The sequence below is a fragment of the Homo sapiens genome, chromosome 16, assembly GCF_000001405.40.
Source record: "Homo sapiens chromosome 16, GRCh38.p14 Primary Assembly".
NCBI classification, from domain to species: Eukaryota; Metazoa; Chordata; class Mammalia; order Primates; family Hominidae; genus Homo; species Homo sapiens.
The window spans coordinates 64956047-64983105 of record NC_000016.10 but is presented as its reverse complement, the minus strand read 5'-3'; the positions used below and the strand labels follow the sequence as shown (position 1 = coordinate 64983105).

At 37.6% G+C, this 27059-nt stretch overlaps 1 protein-coding gene across 4 annotated transcripts in view; it reads left to right on the top strand.

The window, feature by feature from the left end:
• CDH11 (cadherin 11) overlaps positions 1-27059 on the top strand; it is a 179992-nt gene that overhangs the window by 140639 nt on the left and 12294 nt on the right. For all 4 annotated transcript variants that reach the window (XM_047433486.1, NM_001330576.2, NM_001797.4 and 1 more), the window contains 4 exons: positions 805-1058; positions 10066-10202; positions 11042-11175; positions 11410-11527. In XM_047433486.1, coding sequence (XP_047289442.1) covers positions 805-1058; positions 10066-10202; positions 11042-11175; positions 11410-11527 — 643 coding nt within the window. The remainder of the gene's footprint in view (positions 1-804; positions 1059-10065; positions 10203-11041; positions 11176-11409; positions 11528-27059) is intronic.

The window sequence follows — 27059 nt, the reverse complement described above, 5'->3', positions numbered from 1 at the left end:
TTATCTTGTCACTTGCCAAAAATAGAAGGTAACTTAAAAATAAATGCAATCAAACCAAAACGATGCCATTACATTCTAGCTAGAGTTGTATCATAATATCTCACAAAAGAGATTGTGAAGCAGAGCAGATGTGTTAAAACGGAGATGTTCTACTTGGTGTGTCAAGGATTTAAAGACTTGGAAAAGAAAGAATTATCTCACTATGTGAGTTAATATCATTTGACAACCTCACCTATCAAATTACCTATAAACCACCCTATGTCATCTTATGGGCCACTGCTGGTAAGAGTCCCAGACATTGGGAAACAACGTGGTCAGAAACTTTCAACATGAAGCTTTCAATATGATCAAGCTGGATGGTTGCGGGTGGGAGAGGTATGAAGCAGTCATCAAACAAGACATGCTTTTTGGCTGAAATTCAGTGGTATTTTTGTTACCAGGATTCTTAGTTTTCAGAATGAGGTACCAAATGTATTTTTGCAATGTTTTAATTCCCTTCCTTAGGTAATTCTTAGTGACTTATTTGGGCAACATTAGTGTTGCTATATAGAATAAGTTTCATTTTAGATGACGTGGTCTTTCTGTGTCTGTTGTGCTCTTCGAATGACCCATTAAGCACATTCTAGGTTTCAGCAATTGATTTGTGTGATTTTCTGACCAAATGGCTCAGGTAATTGGAAATTGAGTAGACTCTGATTTTCTCTCTTTGAGGAATATTCACTCGTCCCTATAAAACAATCGGGTCTTTCTCTTCCATTATTCTTTCAAGGAATTGGTTGTCAATCTTCTCTTCATTCTTGCCAGCCTGTAGATTTTGAAACCAAAAGAGCCTATAGCTTGAAGGTAGAGGCAGCCAACGTGCACATCGACCCGAAGTTTATCAGCAATGGCCCTTTCAAGGACACTGTGACCGTCAAGATCTCAGTAGAAGATGCTGATGAGCCCCCTATGTTCTTGGCCCCAAGTTACATCCACGAAGTCCAAGAAAATGCAGCTGCTGGCACCGTGGTTGGGAGAGTGCATGCCAAAGACCCTGATGCTGCCAACAGCCCGATAAGGTACAGACGGATTTATTTTAAGAGCTTGGATGGGGAATTTTAGAGTCAAGAGGTTCTGGGAAAGCCCTGTAGGAACCACGTTTTTCAATTTCAAAAAGGGTTCAAGTTTATCAGGTTCAATAGAATGTAAACAAGATTAAGATTTAGAAGACATGAGCTTCCCTTCACCTCTGTTCCTGACTTTTTGGATAGGATTGTTCAAGCTACATGACTTTGCTCTGGAGCAGATTCCCCCAGGCATACTAGGTGACGGAGCCCTGAGCTGGGCCTGTCTGCCTCAGGGGACTGTGGGGAAATATAAATAATTATTGTGAAATAATTATAGTAATTGCAATTTATTAAATACCTTCCCATTCTCTGGTTACTCTATGAGGAGGTTAGGTATGTGATCTAATCAATCCCCTCAACTTAATCGATGTATAAATTGCTAGTCCTTAAAATGAGAGGAAATTGGAGGCAATGCAAGACAAAGTGACTTGCCTGGAATGATACAGCCACCGAGCAGGAGGCAAGGAAAGCCAGCTCTGTCTAACTGCTGCTGAGTACTTTGTAAAAGTAGTAAAGTGTCCAAATAAATTTCAGGTGATTTTATTATTATGAATACCTTTTTTTGTGACAAAAAAAATGTGATCCAGAACTGTGGCTGGGCACCGTGGCTCACATCTGTAATCTCATCACTTTGGGAAGGCTAAGGCGGGTGGATCACCTAAGGTAAGGAGTTCGAACCCAGCCTTTACAATGTAATGAAACCCTGCCTCTACTAAAAATACAAAATTTAGCTGGGCATGGTGGCATGCACCTGTAATTCCAGCTCCTCAGGAGGCTGAGGCAGGACAATCGCTTGAACCCGAGAGGCAGAGGTTGCAGTAAGCCGAGATCAAGCCACTGCATTCTAGCCTGGGTGGCAGAGTGAGACCCTGTCTCAAAAAAAAAAAAAAAAAAAAAAAAAAGAAAGAAAGAAAGAAAAAGTGATCCAAAACTCTGCTTCTCCACTTTCCTCTTCATCCTGAGCTAATGACTGATGAAGCTAATGACAAAAATGAGAGGGTGATAAGAAGGAGGTGGAGAAGGGGCTTGAATCACACGTTTACAGAGTGGAAGTTGATAGTGCCCTGGAATTTCCCCTGGACCGGATTCTAGCAGGGGTTTCTTTTCCCACAGCCACTCCTCTCATTTCCTTCTTGCTTGGATTTCTTTATATGCCTCCACAGGGTCTCCCAACCCTCAGTCTTTCATTTACCTCTCTGCATGAATCCTGACTCTGCAGCCAGAGTGACCCTCATACAATGCACATCCAAACATCACATCTTACCTTAGTTAAAACACAAGAAAAAATTAATGATTAAATGGTTCCCTGTTGTCTCCCTCTTCAAAATAATCTAACCTCATTCACTTAGTTTAAAAAACTTCTTTGCACCCCTCTACCTCCATCTCATTCTTTGAAGCTCTCCTGCTGTCTCCTAATCCCTGGACTTCACATGTTCCTCCTTCTAGCTGGTAGCCCTTGCCTTTCCAAGTTACCACATTGGACTCATTTTCTCCATCTCCACTTAGGTGTTATCTCCTATAGGAATTCTTCCAGGGCTCCCTAGAGATGTATCGGATGTCCTTCCTCTTGCTCCTCCCTACCTCACCCCCCAGGCTACATCACAGGGACACTTAGGTTATGTGAGGTCCTCACTAGAGGATAGTCTCAAAGAGCTGGATGTCTGTCTAGTTTAGGCCTTGGCAAACTATAGCCCATAGGCCAAATCTGGCTGCCATTTGCTTTTCTGTCTCACTCTCTTTTTTTTTTCTGTTGTGAAAAAAATTTACATATCATGAAGCATGAACTTTACCTGTTCAACTTGTACAATTTATTGGTTTTTAGTATATTTCATGAAGATGTTCAACCATTACCACTGTCTAATTCCAGAATATTTTTATTGATCCCCCCCACAAAAGAAATCCTATGTCCATTAGCAGTCACTCCCCGTTTCTCCTGCTTCCCAGCCTCCTGTAACAATTAACTTATTTTGTGTCTGTATGTTTGCCTATTCTGGACATTTCATATAAATGGAATAATACAACATGTGGTCTTATGTAACTGAATTTTTGCATGTAGCATAATGATTTTGAGGTTCATACATGTTGCAGAGTGCATCACTAATTCATTTCTTTTTATCTCTGAAGTAATTTTTCATTGTATGGGTGCACCACATTTTATTTGCTCATTTATCATTTGGATACATGTTTGAGTTGTTTCCAAACTTGGCTATGACAGATAATGCTGAACATTCCTGGACATGTCTTAGCCTAAACATGTTTTCCTCTTTCCTGGGCATATACCTAGGAGTGGAATTGCTGGATTACATGGTAACTCTATGTTTAACTTTCTGAGGAGCTGCCAAAGTGTTTTCCACAGTGGCTGTACCATTTTACTTTCTTATCAACAATATATGAGAGTTCCAGTTTCTCCACATTCTCACCAACACTTTTTTGCCTCTTTTCATTATAGCTATCATAGTGGGTATGAAATGATATATCATTATAGTTTTGATTTGTATTTTCATAATGACTAGTGACACCAAGCATCTTTTATTTATTTATTTATTTGCTACTGAGACATAGTTTCACTCTGTCGCCCAGGCTGGAGTGCAGTGGCACGATCTCAGCTCACTCCAACCTATGCTTCCCAGGCTCGGGCGAGTCTTGTGCTTCAGTCCCCCAAGTAGCTGGGACTACAGGTGCACACCACCAGGCCCAGCTATTTTTTAAAAAAATAGAGACAGGGTTTTGCCATGTTGGCCACGCTGGTCTCAAATTCCTGGCCTCAAATGATCCACCTGTTTCTGCCTTCCAAAGTGCTGGAATTACACGCATGAGCCACTGCACCTGGCCTGAGCATCTTTTTATGTGCTTATTAGCCATTTGTATGTCTTCTTGGGAGAAATATCTATTCAAGAATTTTGCCCATTTCATAAGTGGATTATTTGTCTTTTTACTGTTGTTGTAAGAGCTCTTTATGTATTCTGAATGGTAGGGCCTTATCAGGTATATGATTTGCATTTTTTTCTCATTCCATGGGATATCTTTTCAGTTTCTTAATAGTGTCCTTTGAGGCATAAAAGTTTTAATTTTGAGGAATTCTAGTGGGTCTATTCTTTTTTTTTAATGTCTATGATGAAATAATTGTCTAATCTAAAGTCATGAATGATTTACACATTTTTTAAAAATAAACTTTATGCTTTTAGCTTTCACATTTAGATTTTTATCAGTTTTGAGTATAATTTTATGTATGTTGTCAGGAAGGGGTCCAACTTTATTATTTTGCATGTGCATATCCAATTATTCCAGCACTATTTGTTGAAAATACTATTTTGTCTTAATTGAATGATCTTGGCATTCAGGTTGAAAATTGACCATTCATAGTCATAGAAACCAGGATTGTTTTGTACTGTTGATTACATTGCATTAATTATATGTCTATCCATACAGCAGTACCACATAGCCTTCATAACCATAACTTTGTACTATGTTTTGAAATCAGGAACTGTGAGTTCTTCATCTTTTTTCTCACCACCTATTTTTGTAGATAATGTTATATGGGAAGATAGTCACATCATTTGTTTGCATATTATCTATGTCTTCTTTCCTGCTGCAAGGGCAGAGTTGAGTAGTTGAAACAGAGATTCTAATTTCTGCACAAGCTAAACATTTGCTGGCTGGCCCTTGCAGAACAAGTTTGCTGGCCCCTGTTATAGATCATCACTGCGCCTTCCACTAAACAGAGTACATGGCCCAAATTCGATGTCTAACAAATATTTATTGAATAAATAAATAAAATAACTCCTGATTTGGCTTGGAAGGTCAAGCTCACAGTTTTTGAGTGTAAAACAGGAGGCGTGATAGAAGTGATGACATCTTATTCACACATTTATTTGACAAACCTTCATTGAGCACACACTGGGGGTTCCCAATATACCTAGGGAGGCACTAATGAATTTACTTATGAAAAAGTAAATGGATCTAAATATGAAAGGAAATTACACGGACAATGGAATTTGTCCATTTATATCAAAGAAAATAGTGGCAGGAAAGAAGGAATTCCCAACTATAAGTGGTGTTGGGTTGCTTTTGGATCTTTGAACACTGATTCTTCTGAGGAAAAGAGAGATAATTAACATTTACTGAGCATCTTTTCAGCCTCATACAACAGGTTTTACAAAGTTATTTCAGTCAGTTCTCACTGACATCCTTTGTGGCTATGACTGCTCTAGAATTGAACAGGTGGGAAGAGTGAGGCTCAGAGCAATGATGAGACTTCTTTAAAGTCACGTGGACAGTCAGTATTGAACACTGGATTTCAGCCCAGATCTGTCTTGAGTTCATTTTGAGCTTTTTACTTTAACCCAGCAGCCACTAATGGAAAGATTTCCCAAGAAGGTTTGATTACTATATTCTCTTTGTGCAGAAAGATATGTTACATAATGACTATGGACCCTTCTAACACCTTTAAATGACTTAAAAATCTTCACAGTGTGAAGTTTAAATGAGTTATCTCTGGCCTAGAATATCGAGGTGCATTAGAAACTTTTTAGAAGAGCAGTGACTGTGACGTAAAAACACTCACTCATTTCCTCTGCACCTCATTGTCTCCAAGGATTCACATCTGCAATTGATTATTTGGGTCATGTTTTCAAATGGTAGCTGTTCTGTGCATGTAGGCAATTTCCATGTCTATAATTATCCAAGGATGCTCAATACCACACTTGAACCAACCGCCCACTCCCACCTACTTGGGTCTTTGTTATTTAGAAATACCAGACAAATTTTAAGAGAATATTCAAAGCTTTTATATTTGTTTTTGAGACAGGGTCTCACTCTGTCACCCAGCCTGGAGTGCAGTGGTGTCATCATGGTTCACTGAAGACTTGAGCTCCCTGCGCTCAGGTGAACCTCCCACATCAGCCTCCCAAGTAACTGGGACTGCAGGTGCATGCCACTGTGCCTGCCTAATTTTTTTTGTTTTGTTTTTGTAGAGAGGGGGTTCTCACTATGTTGCCCATGCTGGTCTCAAACTCCTGGGCTTAAGTGATCCTCCTGGCTCAGCTCCCCAAAATGCTGGGATTTCAGGCATGAACCACTGCACCTAGTCTATTCAAAGCTTTTTTGTTGGTTGGTTGGTTGGTTGGTTGGTTGGTTGGTTGGTTGGTTTTTGGAGACCGAGTCTCACTCTGTTGCCCAGGCTGGAGTGCAGTGGCGTGATCCCAGCTCACTGCAACCTCCGCCTCCTGGGTTCAAGCAATTCTCTCCCAAGTAGCTGGGATTATAGGTGTGTGCCACCATGCCCAGCTAATTTTGTATATTTAGTATAAATAGAGACAGGTTTCACCATGTTAACCAGGCTAATCTTGAACTCCTGACCTCTGGTGATCCGCCCACCTTGGCCTCCCAAAGTGCTGGGATTACAGGCTTGAGCCATCAGGCAAGGCCTCCAAACTTTTTATCTAATGGGTCTTTTATCTTCCCTTCCTAATTTCCTGGTTGTTTCTCTTCAACTTTGAGGACATTTGAGTCTTTGGACATATAATGGAGGCCTTGCAATATCACCATAACTCTTAACTTCTTGGACATTCTGCAGTTTTTTGTTTTTGTTTTTTTTTGTCTCAGACTGTAGCATTAGACACATTTTTGTTCAGAATTTCCTTTCTGAAATATTATCTCCCTTTAGTTTTCTTGGCACTAACCTGTTATGCCTCAGATAACACTGTACCTGATGTCTTCACTAGTCTTTGATCCCTGTCCAGGCATTGACTTGGTCCTTCTCTCTGTGTCCACTCACCTATAGGGCTTTTACCCAAGCCGTAATTGACCTAAGTGGATGCTTCAGATTTCCTGCTCCTAGGCTGATCTTTCTCCCCAACTCTAACTCTGCATTTATGATACTGTCTGTTGTGCATTTTTACCCATTTGCTTTTTCTTTCACTGGCTCACTCATTTATCCAAGACATATTTTTGATCTTGTAATTATTGTGACATACTTTAAAACAAAAACAGCTGTTTCCACCCCTGACTTCCTGAAGCCTGCAATAGAGTTGAGTCTTTTCTTTCTGAGCATTTTGACATATCCTTAATTAAATGTCAACCTTTCCTTCCTGGTAATTGATTTTTCCTCTTTTTCTTTTTAATTTTTTAAATAATTTCAACAGTTATTTTTGATTCAGGGGGTACATGTGTAGGTTAGTTAATGGTTATATTGTGTAGTGCTGAGGTTGGGGGTATGATTGATCCTGTCTCATTACAGGGCATATATCCAAAGGAAAATCAACTTTATAAAAATTTATTTAAAAATATATATCCAGAGGAAAATAAAAACACACAAGCACTCAACTGTTCATCACAGCACTATTCACAATAGCAAGCATGTTCTTTTTCAATGTCTTTAAATCTCCCTCTCTCAGACACTCAGGTGAGAAGCTACCTGGGACTCTCTCAGCCTCCCCTAGATGCCCAAATATCCACTAAATCCTACTTGGGCTTTCATCATCATCTAGGATTCCATTTCCTCTGTTACCCCTGTACTTCACTCTCATCACCTCATGTATTTAAAAACAAAATCAAATCCTTAAGTTTCCTCTGCTCCTTCTTCTACTCTCACTTCCTCAGACCATCTTGCCCATCATGCGTTATTGATCTCCTTGAGAGCTTGCGTTCTTTTATTTGCTCCTCTGCTCAAAGCCTTCCATGATTTCTCACTGGCTCTAGGATGAAGGTCACACTCTTACATATGAGAGCTTCCACAGTTTGTTCTCAGTGTGTAACAGCAGCATCAACAACAAAAATAATAGCAGTTACTGTTGGTTGCAATGTGTGAGTCACTAAATTATGTATCTTAAACATTTATTATTTTATTGAATTCTCACAGATAACATAAAAGTTAGGTACTATTAATATTCCAGTTCAGCCAGGTTCCTACAATCCCAGCTACCCAGGAGCCTGAGGCAGAAGGATGACTTGAGCCCAGCTGTTCAAGACAAGCTGGGGCCACATAGTGAGATTCTGTTTGGGAAAAAAAATACGCATTCCATTTTAGAAGATAAATATGCTAAGGCTCAAAGAACTTAAGTGGCTTTTCCAATATCATCTAGCTTATATGTAGCAGATTATGAAGTTGTACTTAGGACTTCCAAAACCCAAAACTCATGCCCTTCATTTCTGTGGAATAATACCTTGAATTATTAATGATCTTTCTTCCCACATGTGTGTTGTCATGTCAACTAAATAGTGAGCTCCTTCATGGAAGGAAAAAAAGTCTTTGATTATTTTTTTGACTCCTTTCCACATAGTGTTATCTGCTGAGGGCTCAGTTGCTGAGCCTCTCCTGACATTGAGGAGGTGTATGAATATCTTTGGTTTTGTCACTGTGCAAGGGGACTCATTATTCTATTCCTATGGGGAGCTGTGAAGTTAAGTGACATCATGAATGAGCTCATGTTTGTATACTGTGAAGTGCCGCTCAGTGGGGGGTCCCTCTTTCCTGAAAAGAACATGATCTGGGATTAGAAGATCTGGCTTCCAATATTGTCTCTTCCAGAAACTAGACATAGGCCAAGTTTCATCTTTTGTAAATCCAGGCAATTAAACCTTCCGATATTCATGGCCTCTGCTATCTCTAATATTCTTTGATTTTTGACCATCACTGAATGCCTTCTGACATACTCATTTTGTAAATTTTGGGAAATCATAGCTTAGACCTCTAAGAGCAGAAAACCACACACTTATGAAGCTCAGCGTACTACCTGAATTAACATAACCCATTTTTGTTCTTTTCTATTTTGGAGTTAGTATAAGGGAGTGGAAAGGGAAGGGGTTTGGAGTTCAACAGACCCATTAAAACAAGACTGTATCCTGGGCAAGTTATTTTACCTTACTACAACTCAGTAAATGCCATTCTTCCGCCATCTCCCACCTCACTTTGCCACAAATACAGCCCAATAATATTATGTGGTTTTTTTATCCGTTATTAGTAAAAAGTTAACTTAGTGGGTGGGAGTAACTAAAATCTTCAAGCTGTGCTGTTTTGCACAGCCTGGAGTCATTAAAATATGGGAAAATGCCCTACAAGTAAATGGCCAAGCTTACTTTGTACATTACACGCTGGAACTCAGAGCCAAGCTAACTGAGAACCCCTGAAACTAAATGAACTAAACAGATTTACTAAAATGTAGTGAACATTTTTCTTTTGTCTTTTTTTTTTCCTGAGACAGAGTCTTTCTCTGTCACCCACGCTGGAGTGCAGTGGCATGATCTTGGCTAACTGCAGCCTCCGCTTCCCGGATTCAATGATTCTCATGCCTCAGCCTCCCGAGTAACTGGGATTATAGGTGTGTGCCACCATCCCCAGCTAGTTTTTGTATTTTTTAGTAGAGATGCGATTTCACCATGTTGGTCAGGCTGGTCCTGAACTCCTGGCCTCAAATGATCCATCCGCCTTGGCCTCCCAAAGTGCTGGGATTACAGGAGTGAGACACTGCACCAGGCTGCATTTTTCTTTAAATAAGACAAACTGATTTTTAGGTCTATACATGATCTTGATAAATTTAAATACACTTGAACGGATTTAAAATTTCATATGCAAAAATCTGGCAAAGGTTTGATACATTTGTGACTTTCTGAGTAGTTTGGGAGCAAGGCAAACTCACTTTCCAAATGCAGTTTCATAAATATTCAGAGGATGGGTGATTGTAGTAAATATGGAGAAATATGCACCACATTATTGTACTTCTCAATCAAATATGCTAAACAACTCTTTCATTCATTGTACTGAATAAGGAATTCCAATGTGGCAAAGTTATTTCTATAAAAGAATCGTGTACAAAGTTTCAAAAGTAAATTTGATTAGAAAGAAAATCTAGCTTAAGTAATTCATTGAGAAGCTTGATTTAAATATAGCATGGAGAAAATATTCAAATATTAAGCTGCTCTGAATGTCTTGGTCTAATTGCCTCATTTGCATTCTGCTTAGGTATTCCATCGATCGTCACACTGACCTCGACAGATTTTTCACTATTAATCCAGAGGATGGTTTTATTAAAACTACAAAACCTCTGGATAGAGAGGAAACAGCCTGGCTCAACATCACTGTCTTTGCAGCAGAAATCCGTAAGTATTCTCCTCATGGTTTTGATTCTACTTTACCAAGTATTATCGCTTCAGACTCTATATTCTGGAAAGTAAAATAGCTGAGATAGACTAACTTTTTTGGTCTTAAACAGATTTTTCAGTCTTTAAAATGTGTTTTCGGTTATCTTTCTAGGAGTACATATAGGCAAAGGGAAATGTTCTTGTTTTCTCTGACAGAACTGGGTATAGACTTGGCAAGAGAGCCAGTAGCCCTCAGGAGTTTGAAACTCATAACCATCACTGAAAGATTTCCCACTCCATCCAGTCACTAGTCTTCACTGAACCCAGAAAAGCAAAGTCCTTAGGCCCAAGGTTTGTGGGTTCTTGTTTATCTATAGACAACAACTCAAACTTGATCATGCATCAGGTTGATCAGTCATCAAGCTTGATTTCTGGACCCTGCCCCAGAGACTCTGATTCAGTAGGTCTGGGATAGGGCCTGAGAATTTTTGCTTCCAACAAGTTCCCAGATGGTTTTAATGCTTCTCTCTAGACTCCCACATTTAAGAACCACTTTGATAGACATCTCTCTGGGGATCAGGCTCCATGATAGGCCTTTAGAATTAAAGCTCAGCATCAAAGTCAGCAGATGTGGAAAAGTGTTTTAGTTCTTACTGGTCTTAATATTGACATTTATTCTAGGATATGCCTCTCCCACTAACAGCACCCTTCAGCTCTTAAATCGATTCTGTGACAAGAACATCTTTCCCTGCACTGCCCAGATAGGTGGCTGGAGCTTACTCTTTCCCAAGAATATGCCTGGACCAATGTGTATTTCTCCTTGACCTTTCTTGACTGTCTGCATTCTGTCTTCCCAGACAATCGGCATCAGGAAGCCAAAGTCCCAGTGGCCATTAGGGTCCTTGATGTCAACGATAATGCTCCCAAGTTTGCTGCCCCTTATGAAGGTTTCATCTGTGAGAGTGATCAGACCAAGCCACTTTCCAACCAGGTAATCCTGCTTTCCCTATTCTTGGCTAGGAACAATGCACTTGGAAATAGAGTGTGTTTTTTAAACCATCACTTGGAGATACCAACCACTGCCCAAAAAGGTTTCAGAGCCATAGTTTTGTTCTGAAGTTATGTTCTCTAATTAAAATCAGGCTTTCTAGCCAGCCAGAAATTTTTGAATAAATGATGTGCCAATGTCAGCATGATTTATTTATGGGCCACCTTTCTCTTTCAGCCAATTGTTACAATTAGTGCAGATGACAAGGATGACACGGCCAATGGACCAAGATTTATCTTCAGCCTACCCCCTGAAATCATTCACAATCCAAATTTCACAGTCAGAGACAACCGAGGTTTGTACTAAGGTTCCTACGCATTCAGAGAAGTAGAACTGGAAAACAAATGGCGTTTACATTGCATAGCACAAGTATTTTCACTAATCTTTATAATGTCTTCCTGTTGAAGAAGAAACCGGAAATAATAATGCCACCTCTGTTCTGAAACATGGGCTCATTTGATGCATGCGAATAAGTGAGTCTAATTTTATTTACATTTTTTGGCTTTGATATTCATGAAGCAGTGGGAAAACTAAGTGGGGAAGCTTACAGGGTCAATATGCAAACAACTCCATTTATCTTTTTTTTCAAGAGGTTGATAAACCCTTGGGGGAAGGATAGCTTTATGAATATTGATATCAAGTAAAGCATTAAAAGAGATTAGTTCAACTTTGTAAGGCAATTTAATCTTTCAGCTGGCCTTCCTTTCCAAGTACAGTTTTAATGCAGTGTGGCTGGGTACAGAGCTCAATATCTAAAAGTAGTTGCAGAATTGTTGCCTGAAGGGCATGAAACAAAGCATTGTTTGTCCATTATAAAAACGGCAAAATTTAATACTATTTCTGCTTCCCCTTTCATTAGTTAAGGAGGTTCTAGACTTGCAGATTATTAGAAATAGATGTTTTTGTTTTTGTAGTCCCAGACCTGATGCAGTCCCTAGATAAAGTTGGTAGCAGAGCCAGGAAAGATGAATATATGTATATATTTTTTACTCTCATCCACACTGTTTTTCTCTGTCCATTACTTGGTAGTGAAATTGCCCATTTAAGTTTGTGAAGGTGCAGGCCTGTGAAAACAGGGAGACAAATGCCACCATTTAACATGGGAGCAAAAGGAGGAATACAGATTGCTATATTCATGCAATCCATGCTAACCAGGTACTAGGCCATAGGTTGATTGCTTTCCCTGCGACTGAGAACAGGCTTAGAGGATCTTAAACTTTCTAGTAAGTATTATCACTTTCCCCATTACTGTTATCACTATCATCAGTACCATAAATACCAGTTGCTGTGTTCCACGACCCATGCCAAGATCCTTTCCACACTCTGTCCACTTAATTTTCTTAACACCACCATAGGTAGGCATTATTGTCACCCCTATTCCACAGATGAGAAAAATGAGGCACAGAATCATTAAATAACTCGTCTCAAATCAATCAACCAAATAAAAGTTACGGCTGGGTTTAAACCCAGGCTCTCAGAGGCCAGATGCTATAGCCTTAACCACTGAATCCTTTCGTGCTGATGATTAAAGCAGACAGGCGCTCCCCATGCTGCTTGGATTTTGAGGGTCTATGATTTGATTTACCTTATTATTTCTTGAACTTATGTGAGTATTTAATTATGGGCCTTATAAATCAAGCACATGCCAAATGAGACAATGAGGCAAAATGCCCTAGGTGTTATGACAGCCTTTTCTCTCCCAATGCCTTGCTTTCTATAATGAACTTGCTCTTAAGAACTGAAGTGTGAAGGAAGTTATATGTAGAAAAACGTGTTTTTAAAGAAGCCTACGAAACAACCCCTGTTTCAATTTGTAAATGATTCCCATCATTTTAAAACAAAACGTTACTTAACACTCTTTAAGTTTGTATTTACACTAGGATTTTTCTTTTACCTTTTGTCTTTGGTGAATGTGCACTTGTAAGTCTCTGAAAGAGATAATTCTGCAAAGCACTAATGTAAATGGATAGTTCTCAACCAGAAACACACAACCCTCATGGGACACACATATGTAATACAGGAATTCATTTTGTAATGATAGTTTTCTCCAAAACAAGGAAACTCAGGCACATAGTGAACATTTAAAAATGTGTACTGAGCTGAATTGAACAGGGTGGCACAAATAGTGTTTGCATAATGCTTTCTAAGATACGTATACATCTGTATTTGAATTTATGAAAAGCCCTGTGTTCACTCTTAGAATTTTCTGCATTCTCAAATTTGTTTCCAGTTTCACCTTGAATTGACAGACTGCTATATTTTTTCAGCTTAGGCTTATATCAGTTTTCTGACAAAGAAATGCTTGTAACAATATATTGCATAATGGATTTAGTTTTAACAATAGTGAAGAGATTGATTCGGTTGCCCAGAAAACTCAGATGTTCTCATATGACTATTAGCCACCATCTTTTGTCTAGCTTCTCAAATATTTGTGGTCAATCTTCTATCTGTGTTGATGCAATTCTCAACTTACACTGGAGGTCTAACTCCTGGGGCTGTATTCCTAGCAATATTACTGTTTATCATGGGACACCTACAAACAGGACCTTTACTAAGCTTTCCCTGCTGTGATAACTTTGCCTCCATCACCTGCCCTGTACATTTTCTTTTTATATGTGCAATCATATTTAGTTGCTGTTAACCTCTGAAAACATTATACTAAGACACATTGTTCTCTAGGGAGTTATAAGTATTTTACTTTGTCACAATACTTTGCGGATACCATCTATATTTTTCAAGGAGATTATATAACCCTAGATGAGCCAATTTACTGAACAATTCATCTCCCCTGCCCTCTCCTATAAGAGACTAATACCACTGTTGAGCTACTATTTTTGCAGGAAATTGCTACTTTTTAAGAAAAATTACTTTATTAACTATGGCAAACAGTTAATGAAAACTCCCATGTTTAAAGCTATTACAGAAACTTAAAGCAAATACAGTCCTATAATTATCATTTAATAGACTTTCTTTCTACTAGCTCCTAAAAGTAATTACATATTGAAGTAATCCAAAAGGAGTAATCACATTCCATATCCTATTAATAGCCTACTGAGTTACCAAATTTCTCGGCTGAGACTGCTTTCCATAGAAAACATGAGATAATGGTTTATATCATGCTGAGTAAAAGCATCAAGTCTCTTTCTCCTTGAGTGTTTACTTCCATTATGCCATGTAAATAATCAGTATTGTGTTTGCCTAAACTCCGGCATAAGCATTCAGCGTTTTTAGAAATATAAGAGGAAAAGCCATCTTAATACACACAAGCTTTTTATTTCATTTTATCTTATTCCGTTCTGCAGCCCGAGCTTCAAAGCCGACTCAGCAGGCAGCAGGAAAATAGAACACTGGATGATTCTTCAACATTTAAGTCCATCTTGGGCTGTTAATATCAGGAATGGTGCTATTTGGGCAGATGAAGAGCATGTCTGCCCAGGTTTTGAGATGCATTTACTTTGAAAATACCAGGCATGTGGCATCTCTTAAATCACAAGAAATATGTAATGGATGAGAAAAGTGCAAAGAAAAAAAAAAGACTGAGATAATATCTCTCCTCTATGTAGCTCTTAACTGGTTTATAAAACCTTCTCATGTCATTGTTTCACCTAATTCTTCAAACAGTCGCATAGGGCAGGCAGGTGGTATATTTTTATCCAATTTTCAGATAAAGAAAGAATATGAGACATCAGAAGGGTCAGTGATTTGCCCAAGGTCACACAGCAATAAGTGCAAAAACTAAATTTAAATATTTGGAGGGCCCTGTTGGTTGTACATGGCACACTGTAAAATGAATATAAAGCTCGTGTCTCTTCTAGTTAATTCATTTCAAAAGTCTTTGTTTATCCTATTGTCAATAATAACAATCCTCAGAAGAGGCAAATTCTGAAATTTAATTTATGGATTAATCTAGGGTTCCAGGGAATGTGTGAACAGAACAGGACAAGGTTCTTCAATTTTCACTTTAATCACAGCCATAATAATTGTAGTAAAATATATTTGCAAAGAAGTTTATAATTTGCTTCTATTACAAAATTAATGCCTATTTCTTGAAGGAAAATTGGAAAATACAAACCAACAAAAATGGTATTAAAACATTAAAATAACTTGATAATAGGCTACCCAGAAATAGTCACTGCTATTTGTGTATCCTTTCTTTGCATACATTTCTTTTCTTAAAAAAAAAAGAAAAGCAACTGTGAAATATATGTCCACTAATTTTCCCACTTAATAGTATGTAATACAAATCAATATATGTATGTCAATATTTTCAAGTTGTCTTTCTACCTTCAACTATGAGGATATATAATATCAGTTGACTGTAAGTACGTACATTGTTTTCCACACCTTCGCCAAATATCTAATTATTCTTTTAGGATAAATTCCTATAGTGTTTTGGAAGGCTGAGGCAGATGGATTGCCTGAGCTCAGGAGTTCAAGACCAGCCTGGGCAATACGGTGAAACCCCTTCTCTACTAAAACACAAAAAAATTAGCTGGGCTTGGCCGGTGTGCACCTGCAGCCCCAGCTACTCGGGAGGCTGAGGCAAGAGAATTGCTTGAACCCGGGAGGTGGAGGTTGCAGTGAGCTGAGATCACGCCACTGCACTCCAGCCTGGGCAACAGTCTGGAGTGCAACAAACAAACAAACAAACAAAACTCCTAGAGTGGAATTACTGGATCAAAAGCTATTGCTACTTAATTAATAAACTGATCATCAGAAATGTTATACCATTTTTAATACCATTGGTAAAACAGGTGAGGTTTTATTTTCTCACATCCAGGTCAATTCTAGTTAGTATTACTCTTTTTAATCATTGGCAATTTGGTAAGTTAAATGTAACATTTTAAGTTCCAGTTACTTTCATCATTTAAAGCCAGGTGTTTTTAATAATTATTAATCAGTTCTTCTTTTGTTCTTATAAGTTGGCTATTTATGTCCTTTGCCCACCTCTTAAATTATATATTTGTCAGTTTGCAATTGATTTGTAAAGTCTGTTCATCTATTAATGCTATTCACCTTTGACCTACCATACCTACTGCATAGATTTTCCTAATGTTTTAATGTTCTTTTAATTCTGACTCTGCTGTAGTCTTAAGTAGAGATGTTACACTTTTTGTATCAGTTTTTGTCTATTTACTATTATCCTTAGCAAGATGTTCCTCACCCAAAATTGATATCAACATTAACTTATCTTTTCTTCTTTCTTATATATCTTTTTCCCCCACCTGTTGGGCATTTTAAAAATATTATTTATGAAATATTTAGTCATGTCTCACTGCTTTGTAAGGGTATCTTTATTGTCTTCTACATTTTTTATGATTAGATTTTTTTAACTTTCTATTCTTCCCATTCTGTCTATTTACTGGTATCATATTTTTCTTTAATAATTTTATACATATATATGTTGAAACCTGACAGATGCTTTCTCCGCATTATTTTTATTTTATTACTATTTTACAAATCTTGCTTTTTTTATTCTTTCTGATATAATTTAGAATTATTTTTCAGGTGCCCTACAAGTACTTTTGTGAATCTTATTGAGCTTATCTTAAATTTATGGATCAATTTAAGAAGAACTAAAATTTTAAAAATACTTTTCCTGTCCAAAACCATGGTCTGACTTTCCATTGAATCAATTCTCCTTTTATTACCCTCAGGAAGTCATTGTAGTTTTCTTCATTTTTGTATCATGCATTTCTTATTAAGTTTATGGTTAGCTACTTTACATTTTGGAAGATATTATAAAGTAATTTTTAAATAATATTTTCTATCATTTTTCTGGCTTTTGAGGTTTCAACTCAGTATTTTATGTGATTCTATTTTCTGTCCTTTTTAAGCATACCACTGCCACTGTACTTCTTTTTTTTTCTTTTTACTTTTTAATGGGTTGACCTAGAGTTTGAGCTATACATTTACAATTAATCCAAGTCTGCTATCAAATAACACTATACCACTTCACAGGTAGTACAAGTACCTTATAATAAGAAATTAATCCTAATTTCTCCCTCTTGTTCCTTATATCATTGCTGTCACTTATTTCACTTATAAATAAGCTTGTGTGTGTGTGTGTGTGTGTGTGTGTGTGTGTGTGTGTGTGTGTGTTTCATGCACCGCATAACAATGTCTTGGACAGCAGCAGACCACATATAAAAAGATGATCCAGTAAGATTATAATGGACCTGAAAAATGCCTATCACCTAGGATTTACCATAACTACACTTTTAAACATTATTTTAGAGTGTACTCATTCTATTTATCAAAAATAAAGTTCACTTTAAAACAGCTTCAGGTAGGTCCTTTGGGAGGTATTCCAGAAGAAGGCATTGTTACCATAGAAGACAACAGCTCCATGTGTGTTACTACCCCTGAAAAACCCTACAGTGAGACAAGATGTGGAGGTGGAAGACTGTGATACTGATAATCCTGATCCTGTGTAGGCACAGGCTAATGTGTGGGTTTACATCTTAGTTTTTAGCAAAAAGGTTTTTTTTCGAGATGGAGTCTTGCTCTGTTGCCCAGGCTGGAGTGCAGTGGTGCAATCTCGGCTCACTGTAGCCTCCACCTCGCGTATTTTAGCAATTCTCCTGCCTCAGACTCCCAGGTAGCTGGGATTACAGGCGCCCGCCAGCACACCCGGCTAATTTTTTTTTTTTTTTTTTTTTTTTTTTGGTATTTTTAGTAGAGATGGGGTTTCACCATGTTGGCCAGGCTGGTCTGGAACTCCTGACCTCAGGTAATCCACCTGCCTCAGCCTCCCAAAGTGCTAGGATTTCAGACGTGAGCCACCATGCCTGGCCAACAAAAATATTTAAAAGGTTAAAAAATAATAATAATAAAAATTAAGGTTGATTTATGCCTAACGTAAATGATGAGTTAATGGGTGCAGCACACCAACATGACACATGTATACATATGTAACAAACCTGCACGTTGTGCACATGTACCCTAGAACTTAAAGTATAATAAAAAAATAAATTTTTATAAGTTTAGTGTAGCCTAAATGTACAGTGTTTATAAAGTCTACAGGGCTGGGCGCAGTGGCTCAAGCCTGTAATCCCAGCACTCTGGGAGGCCGAGGCGGGTGGATCACGAGGTCAGGAAATCGAGACCATCCTGGCTAACATGATGAAACCCCGTCTCTACTAAAAATACAAAAAATTATCCGGGTGTGGTGGCGGGTGCCTGTAGTCCCAGCTACTCGGGAGGCTGAGGCAGGAGAATGACGTGAACCCGGGAGGCGGAGCTTGCAGTGAGCCGAGATGGGGCCACTGCACTCCAGCCTGGGTGACAGAGCAAGACTCCGTCTCAAAATAATAAATAAATAAATAAATAAATAAATAAGTCTACAGTAGTGTAAGGTAACGTCCTAGGCCTTCACATTCACTCACTCAGTGACTCACCCACTTCCTGTCCTGAACACTCCATTCATGCTAAGTACCCTATACAGGCATAACATTTTTTATCTTTTATGCCATATTTTTACTGTACTTTTTCTATGTTTCAACACACAAATATTTGCTCCTGTGTTATAATTGCCTACAGTATTCAACAGAGTAACATACTGTATAGGATTGTAGCCTAGGAGCAATAGGCTGTGCCATATAGGGTAGATGTAATAAGCTAAACCATCTGTGTTTGTTTAAATACACTACGTTTACAGGAGGAAATCTCCTAACAATGCATTTCTCAGGATGCTTCCCTGTCACTAAGCAACTCATGACGGTATATATGAATAACCATACCTAATCAAATACATTGTTGCAATTATTACTGTGAACAAATTATTGTGTTAGGTCAATTAAAATATAAGAAAAATAAAAGTGTCTGTTTCTTCATCACTTATTCCTTCTTCCACGCTCTTCTTTTCTCTCTGTATATCCAGATTTCTGACCCATGTTCTTCCCTCTAAAGAACTTATTCTAACATTTCTTACAAGGCAGGCCTACTGGCAACAATTTTTTTTTCCATTTTTGCTAGTCTGAAAAACTATTTCTCCTTCACTTTTAAAGGATAATTCTGGTAGTTAGAGAATTCTAGGTTGGTATGTTTTTTTCTCTCAATACTTTAATTATTTCACTTTATTCTCTTTTTGCTGGCATGATTTCTGAGAAGGTGGATGTAATTCTTATCTTTATTCCTCTACGGGTAAGGTGGGTTTTTTTCTCCTGACCTCTTTCAGCATTTTTAAAAAATCTTTGATTTTTCTGTAGTTTGAATATGATATGACTAGGTGTAGGGACTTCCTTTTTGGCATTGATACAGCTTGATGTTCTCTGAGCTTTCTGCATCTGTGGTTTGGTATCTGACATTAATTTGGAGAAATTCTGTCATAACTGTTTCAAATAGTTCTTCTGTTTCTTTCTCTCTTCTGTTTCTGGTATTATCATCACATATATATTACACCTTTTATAGTTTCACAGTTCTTGGATATTCTGGGGTATTATTTTTTCAGTCTTTTGTCTCTTTGCTTTATAGTTTTAGAGGTTTTTGCTGATCTATTCTCAAGCTCAGAGATTCTTTCCTCAGCTGTGTCCAGTCTACTAAGGAGCCCTTTGAAGGCATTCTCTATTTCTGTTGATGTTTTTTATCTCTAGTGTTTCTTTTGGTTCTTTCTTAGAATTTCCATCTCTCTGCTTACATTGCCCATCTGTTCTTGAATGTTGTCCACTTTATCCATTAAAGACCTTAGCATATTAATCACAGTTGTTCTAAATTTCCAGCTGGATAATTCCAACATCTCTGTCATATGCGTGCCTGGTTTTGATATTTTCTCTGTCTCTTCAAATTGTAGGATTTTTTGTTCTGCCTTTAGTATGCCTTGTAATTTTTTTCTTCATAACGGAAATGGTGTTGTGGGTAACAGGAACTGCTATAAATAAGCCTTTAACAATGTGGATAGTAAGTTAAAGAAGGGCTAGCATTCCATAGTCCTATGACTGGGCCTCAGTTTTTAGTAAGCTTGTGCCTCTGAACTGTAAACTTCACAAGTGCTCCTTAGTTGTTTTTTTCTCCCTCCTTTGCTGGGACAGGATACCTGGGATGGCCTAGAGTTGGAAGTTTCTTTTCCCCAGGTCAGTTAGTCTCTGATAAAATCCCAGAAGATTAGGCTTCCTTTAAAAGTTTTTTCTAAGATCAGGCCTTGTTAAGAACAGAATGCTCTGGCGTATTTCAAAATGGTTCCTTTTTCCCTCCTCCTACTGATAGCATGAGGGAATTTTTCTCTAATATTCACTGTGAGAACCAGGTAGAGTTCCTGGAGGTAAAAATCACACAAGTGTGTATGTGCATGTGTGTGGTAGGGGGTCACGGGAGAGGTCCTGTGACTGGGTTCCCCTAGAGATTTTAACTTCTCCACACTGGGCCTCCATCAATTTGTCAATTACAGTTCAGGTTTTTCTACCCCAGCACTGGTTCCTGAGGAAGTTTTTGCTTGTTGGTTCCTAATCTAGTAAGTTCGATTCTCTGTATCTACTTGTCTGTCTCCAATCTGGGGACGGCTCTTTGCCCTGTAAACTCAATTCTCTTATGAATCTAGGAAAAGTTGTTAATATTCTAGTTTGTTTGTTTTTTTATTTGGATGGAGAGGTGACTTCCAAGCTTCTTATGTATCAGACTGGACTGAATCTGTTCTAATTTTATTTTCTTAGTCACTATTTTTAGTATAAGTTATAACTGTTTTAATTTATTTACTATTGGGCATTGCAAAGTGATATAACTTACCTGATTTTCCTGGGTTTTCTAGAGCAATAACTACATAAAAATTAATGGCAATTTGTTTCACCTTTTAAAATACTTGTTTTTCATCTAATTGCATAGATTTACACTTTTCAAATATGTGCTATATCATAACAACAGTAATGGCCATTCTTGGTTTACTTATTACTTTAATAGGGAAATTAGTTCTTGAGTTTCATCATTAAACATCATACTGGGTATTAGATTAAAATTAAGATTTGTGTTTTGGGGGGTGTGTGTGTGAGAGAGACAGAACTTCCTTTACATTGTTGTGTTACTAAAAAATAAATGTTTAATTTTATTACAATTTTTTGATTCTAACAAGAAGATAATATAGTTTTGTCTGCTGGCCTAGTGACCTGGTAATTATAAATACAATATTCTAATATTAACTTCATAATTTTAATTTTCAACCCTCTTATTCCAAACAACAATCATTTGATAAGGTACAGAGGAAAAGGCAAGGCCTAGAGATTAAAGGCTTGGCTTTGCTCTTCATCTCTAAAGGGAGAACAATTTTAATATTAATATCTGAATATTTGATATATAATCCTAATAATAATTTATAAAACAGTTGTAAATTATTACACTATATGAATTGAGCTGCCAATTTGAGAGATAAAGGCACTGACATACTAAAAACTGGTATCAAAATTGGAATGCATCCCGGGATCTCAGAACCCCAGGGCTACAAGCTTTACAATGGGCCATCTCAATTAGAATTGAAGGTTTATCAGATCATGGGGTTACATGGCTATCAGAAGGTTTTTCTGTCACTTGAGCAGCCAAGGAAAATTTTAGGAGTTTTCAATGAGTTTCTATTATAACGACAACAAAAATACTCGAGATTTTCAAGTAAATCAATTTTAAGAGTAGCCTTTTGTAAACCATGAAGCCTCTTCCCTGTTTGATTTGGCCTTCTCCGTCCTTGATGCTTCTTCTCTAGTTAGTGTCAGTGTGGCTTTCATCAAATTCTAGATATTTCTTAGATTCCCTATGATAGCCTCTTCTTTCCATCCTTCTGTAATCATGAAAAGATGAAAAAATGAGTGCCAGGAAGCGTCCTAAAAGAAGGCTTTCACAGTGAATATAAATCTGATGTCAGGGAATCCCCAAAAGCACATCCAGCAAAATTAGTTATATTGTGAAAGCACAACTAATTTTGATAGTTATCATGAATAGAGTTACCCACAGAGAAGCTGTAACTACATGGTGACCTACAAACAGGTCTGTCTGACTCCATCCTTGCCCCCACTTCACTCAGCCCTCAATAAACAAACTGGACAATGCCTCTCTCTCTCTCTTTTTTAAATTCTTTCCTGCCTCTCCATTTCCTATGTATTTAACTGAAACTCCATAGCTTAGTGAGCAAGACATTCCATGCTTTACTCCTTGTACACTTTACCTCTACCATGTCCTTTCTCTTGCTACCTTAAATCTTAAGATTCAGAAACTTGAAACCATGTCAAGTTTCTGAAATATGCCATGCTCTCACATGTCCATGTGCAGGGAATTTACTCCCCCTGTCTATCCCTCCTCCTTTAAGTCTCACTGTACATAAAGACATCTCCCAGGTGACATCTGGCCTAACATCTCAGAACATTTGGGCTGCCTTGTCCTAGTGCTCCAGGAATACTGCCCTAACCTCAATTTTTCTTATCACTCTGAATTCTAACCGTATAACACATTTCCTTGTCTCCCACTAGAATCTGAGCTCTGTGAGGCCAGTATCCCAACACTTAAGAAAAGTGGGTTGACTAAATGCATAAATTAAAAGTGAAGGAGTGGTTGAGAAAACACTTCATAACATATAATCTTCTTCAAAAATTTTAAGAATTAGTTATTATTATGGAAAGAATGAATCTGTCATGAAATAAGCTCCAGGATGAAAAAGAGAACAAATCATTTGATGCCAGAATATTCTAAAGAAGTCAGTACCCCATCACCCAGCCCTTGCATTCTTTCATCCATTCAGTCATTTACTTTTCCACAAAATTATATTGGAGACCTAGGGTTAGGGGGAAGAATGAGATGACCCTCTAATGTATTAGTTTTGCAAATGTAATATCCAAGTTGTGCCATGTGGCAGATCAATGAGCACTGAAACATTCAGAGTTGAGTTTGCACTGCTTAAACAAAAATAAAAATAAGAAAGCAGGCAAGCAAAGACATAAATAAACAACAAAATGTTTGCGTGGAAAGCAATGTTGGTTTAGTAAGGATAGCCAAGACAGATTCACTCAGATTAAATCAATTGGCAAATAAATGCCTTTCTTTCTGTTTTCCCCCCGAACTAAGGACATTTTTTATGAGCAGCACAAACTAGCATGCAAATATGCTTCTGATTTTTCACTTTCATAATTTAAAGATAGCCAAACAGATTTCTGTAGGATGTATTTTTCGCCCTTAATTGCTCCAATATGGAAGATGCTCTGTTGGGAGATCAAAATGGCAGATGTCTTTTAATGCCCTGCCATTTTCACTTGTGTAAATAATCATGTTTCTTTTCTGCCTAAAATTCATTGCTGCAGTTTGTCTCACACAGAACAGAGTTTATCTTTGAACCCGCTCTCTCCTCAATCCAACAACAACAAAAAAATAAATAGATCTTCTTGGTAGATCAGACATCACTCTTTCAAGGTTGCACGTGGTCACTGACTTAACTAGTTAGCTTAAAGACCCTAAATGTCAATATCCCCCTGAATCTCTTGGTAGTTTTCTTTGTCTTAAACTAAGAAGTACGTGGGCAGTATGTTCTTTTCTCTCCATTTACCCTACCAACAAGGAGAAAATTACTATCAAACATAAGTGAAAGCAGAGTTGATTTTAAGAAATGTGATTAAATGTGACAATGAAAAGTCTCTTAATGCTAACAAACTGCATACTTCGATATCTCATACACACATGCTTGAATTTCACATGCACACAGGCAAGTATTTCTATCATGTTACTCTTTATTGTACTTCTTGTTTTGCAGATTCCTCAGTACAAAAGGCAATAATTGGAAGAACAGTGGTGTGTAGCTCCCTAATTCAGTTAGGAGACATTATAGCCATCAGAGTCTTGGTAAATTATTTTCATTAGTACGTTAAGGCTCATCATTTATAGAATTTGCATCATTGTAGCATATCTTTTATTCCAAAATATTGGGAAAGTAATAGGTTTCTTCTTGCCTCCTTCACATTGGTTTGTTTGTGAAGGGTGTATGTTTGCGTGTGTATGTCTGTGTCTGGAAATGCTATGGGAACAGCTGTTGAATGAGTACCCCTGATTGTTTGTGGGTCTCTTTGCCACAAAAAATCTTAGGTTTCTAAGAACTGTTCTTTTATCTAGAAACTGAGTCTAGAAACTGAGTTTTTCTTTTTTTTGTCTAATTATAGGCTATGATGGAATTCAACTAATTAACCAACCTATTGTGGATATTAAAATAAACTAGTTTAATTAGAATGCAATAATGTCAGTGTTCCAGGGTCAGTTATGTGCTTATAAAATTCAATGAAACCTAGAGGACTTCAAATTCTAGTTCTGTTATTTTCCATGTGCTTGTGAGAAATTGCTTCCCTCTTAGTTTCTCAGTTTTGTTTCTTATAAGATATGGGATATTATAATCTTTGCACAGTTTGAAAAATTGTCTGGGATAATGTATGTAAAAGTAACAAACAACAGCGTTTGCCCATATTAGCAGTTCAATCAATGTTGCTTAGTTAAATTTGCTTCAATTTAAATAATAATAACAGAATAATAAGATAGCAAGATGAAGATATTTAGCAAAAGCAAAATCTGCAATATAAATATAAGCAACATTAGAAGGAGTTGGAGAATATGGAAACTAGAAATGGACCATGAGATAATGAATCAGTAAACTCTGACTGTGTGGAAAAGTCAGACTGATATGAGATTCATTGGAAAGCACAGCATTCAGCCATTTATTCTGTCAACACACACAACAGTGCTAAATGCCTAAATGCACAAAGACGACTGAAAAGCTAAATAAGACAAGGCCCCTTCCCTCAAGGAGGTTATTGTCTGGTGAAGAGGTCAGACATTCAGTCACGATGGGCTGTGAAATGTACAAACTATGCAGTAATGTGTACAGGTAGGTAGAGAGCTCACAGGGTATTCAGAAAGGCAAGAAAATAGAGGTGTACACACAGACTAGTAAGTTCATCATTGATCAGTAGTAACATCAGGAGTGTATTGTCACAAACTTCTAAAAATGTTCTATGAAATTTCCATTATTTCAGTCCCTTGGATTGAAGATGGTAAACATTGACTGACATCAAAACTTAAAATTAATTTTTCAAAATTCACAAATGTAAATGAGTGTAAAGAAATCGAAATAACTAAATGCTCAAATGATGCCTTTTGTAGTTGTGTGTCATCTATACTTCTGAAATTATTGAAGCTTATAACTCTACTAAGAAATTTTAGTCACACACTATATATAAATTTTATGTATGTGCTTATTTATGCGTATATATATGTATATATATATATATGGATGGGTGTGTGTGTGTGTGTGTGTGTGTGTGTGTGTGCACGGGCATGTGTGGGCACAGAAATATTTTTTCCATTATCTTGGCAGAGCTATTGCCACATTTCTAAGGAAAGCAGTGTAGGCCAGAGCAAAGTAATCAAATAATGTTTATTCTGCTAGTGACTGAATACCTGTCTTCAAGTGTGTGGGAGCTTTTCATGTGGTAGATAGATCTACTTCCTCTCTGAGGTTTGGGAAGAAACGTAGAGTAGGCAGATTTGGGTCAGCAGTGAACAAAATACCTCCCTGGGAGCAAGTCTTGGCCTACATTCTCGGTTTTCCAACAGTCTGCAGAGAGGATCCTCAGACTGAAGTGCCCTGTGGCCTTTTTCATAAGATAGAATGTCTCTGATCAGGTCAAGCTGTGAGGATTGTTTAGCTTCAGAGAAGAGATGGACAGAGGAAAAGGATTGGTAAGGAAGAGCATCTGCAGAGCCTTAGGGAAGCTGCTGAGTGACTGATGCCGTTGCCCTGGGATAAGCCTCTCTCCTGACACCATGATGAGGGCAGAGGGTCCTGGTCCTTTGCTTTGGTGCTTCCTGTTTTCAAGTTTTCAATATGCAGGAGCTGGTCCATATATTGCCCACTTTGATCTGCTTTTAATTTTTTCCTTTTTTATTTTTATTTTTTTGGCTAATGCAGGGTTGTCACCAAGTGCAGTCTATCTATCAAGGTCTTCTTTCTCTCTCCATCTTAATGTTCCCCTTGATTGCCAGTCTCATATATTTCCTCATTGGGCTACATCATCATCTAACCCCTATATTGGTATTCCCCAACTGGTACCATGGAGATCATCATTATTAGGAACTTTTATATTGTATTAGTATAATGAAAAAGTGTACAAGTAAAAGCAGCATGCAATTAGGAGTCCAGGTTGGACTAAAACTTAGAAGCCTGAATTTGTTTTTCCATTAATAGAAACACTACACTTTGTGCATGACATATTCTGGTAATTAATGGCCCTATTTGCAAGTTTTGGCCTAAGTGGGGGAAAACATGCAACTGGTTACATATCTGTGGCCAAGGATGAGAACACTGGTGTCAAGATCAAAAACCAAGATGCTTGAAAAACATTTTCTTGTCATGGGAAATATATTGTCCAGGACTGAAGAATATGAAATATTTTCTTACCTTTGAATGAAGAGTCCTTCTGCATAGGCAATTACATTCAGAGCTACAATGACATTTCCAAGAATTCACTTTCCTCCTTTGCCAATGAGTTTCTCTTCCTCATTAGTCTACTGCTCAAAGAGAAGAACTTCCAGAAAAGAATTAATATTTACTGAGCATCGCCAACAGGCTGGCAACTGTGCTAAGTAGCTTTATGAATGGAATCAAATTTAACCTAAAATTATTAGTTTCACAGATGACAATATGGAAAATCAAGACACCTAGATAATATGTTTAAAGTCAGGCAATTAATATGTACAAGATTCAAGATTCAAACCCAGGTCTGTTTGACCCCAAAGATTGAGTTTTTTGCTTCTTAGAATCTTTATATAAGAAAAAGATCTAGGAAGTCTCTATGGAAATTTTAAAATTGATGGAATATTTG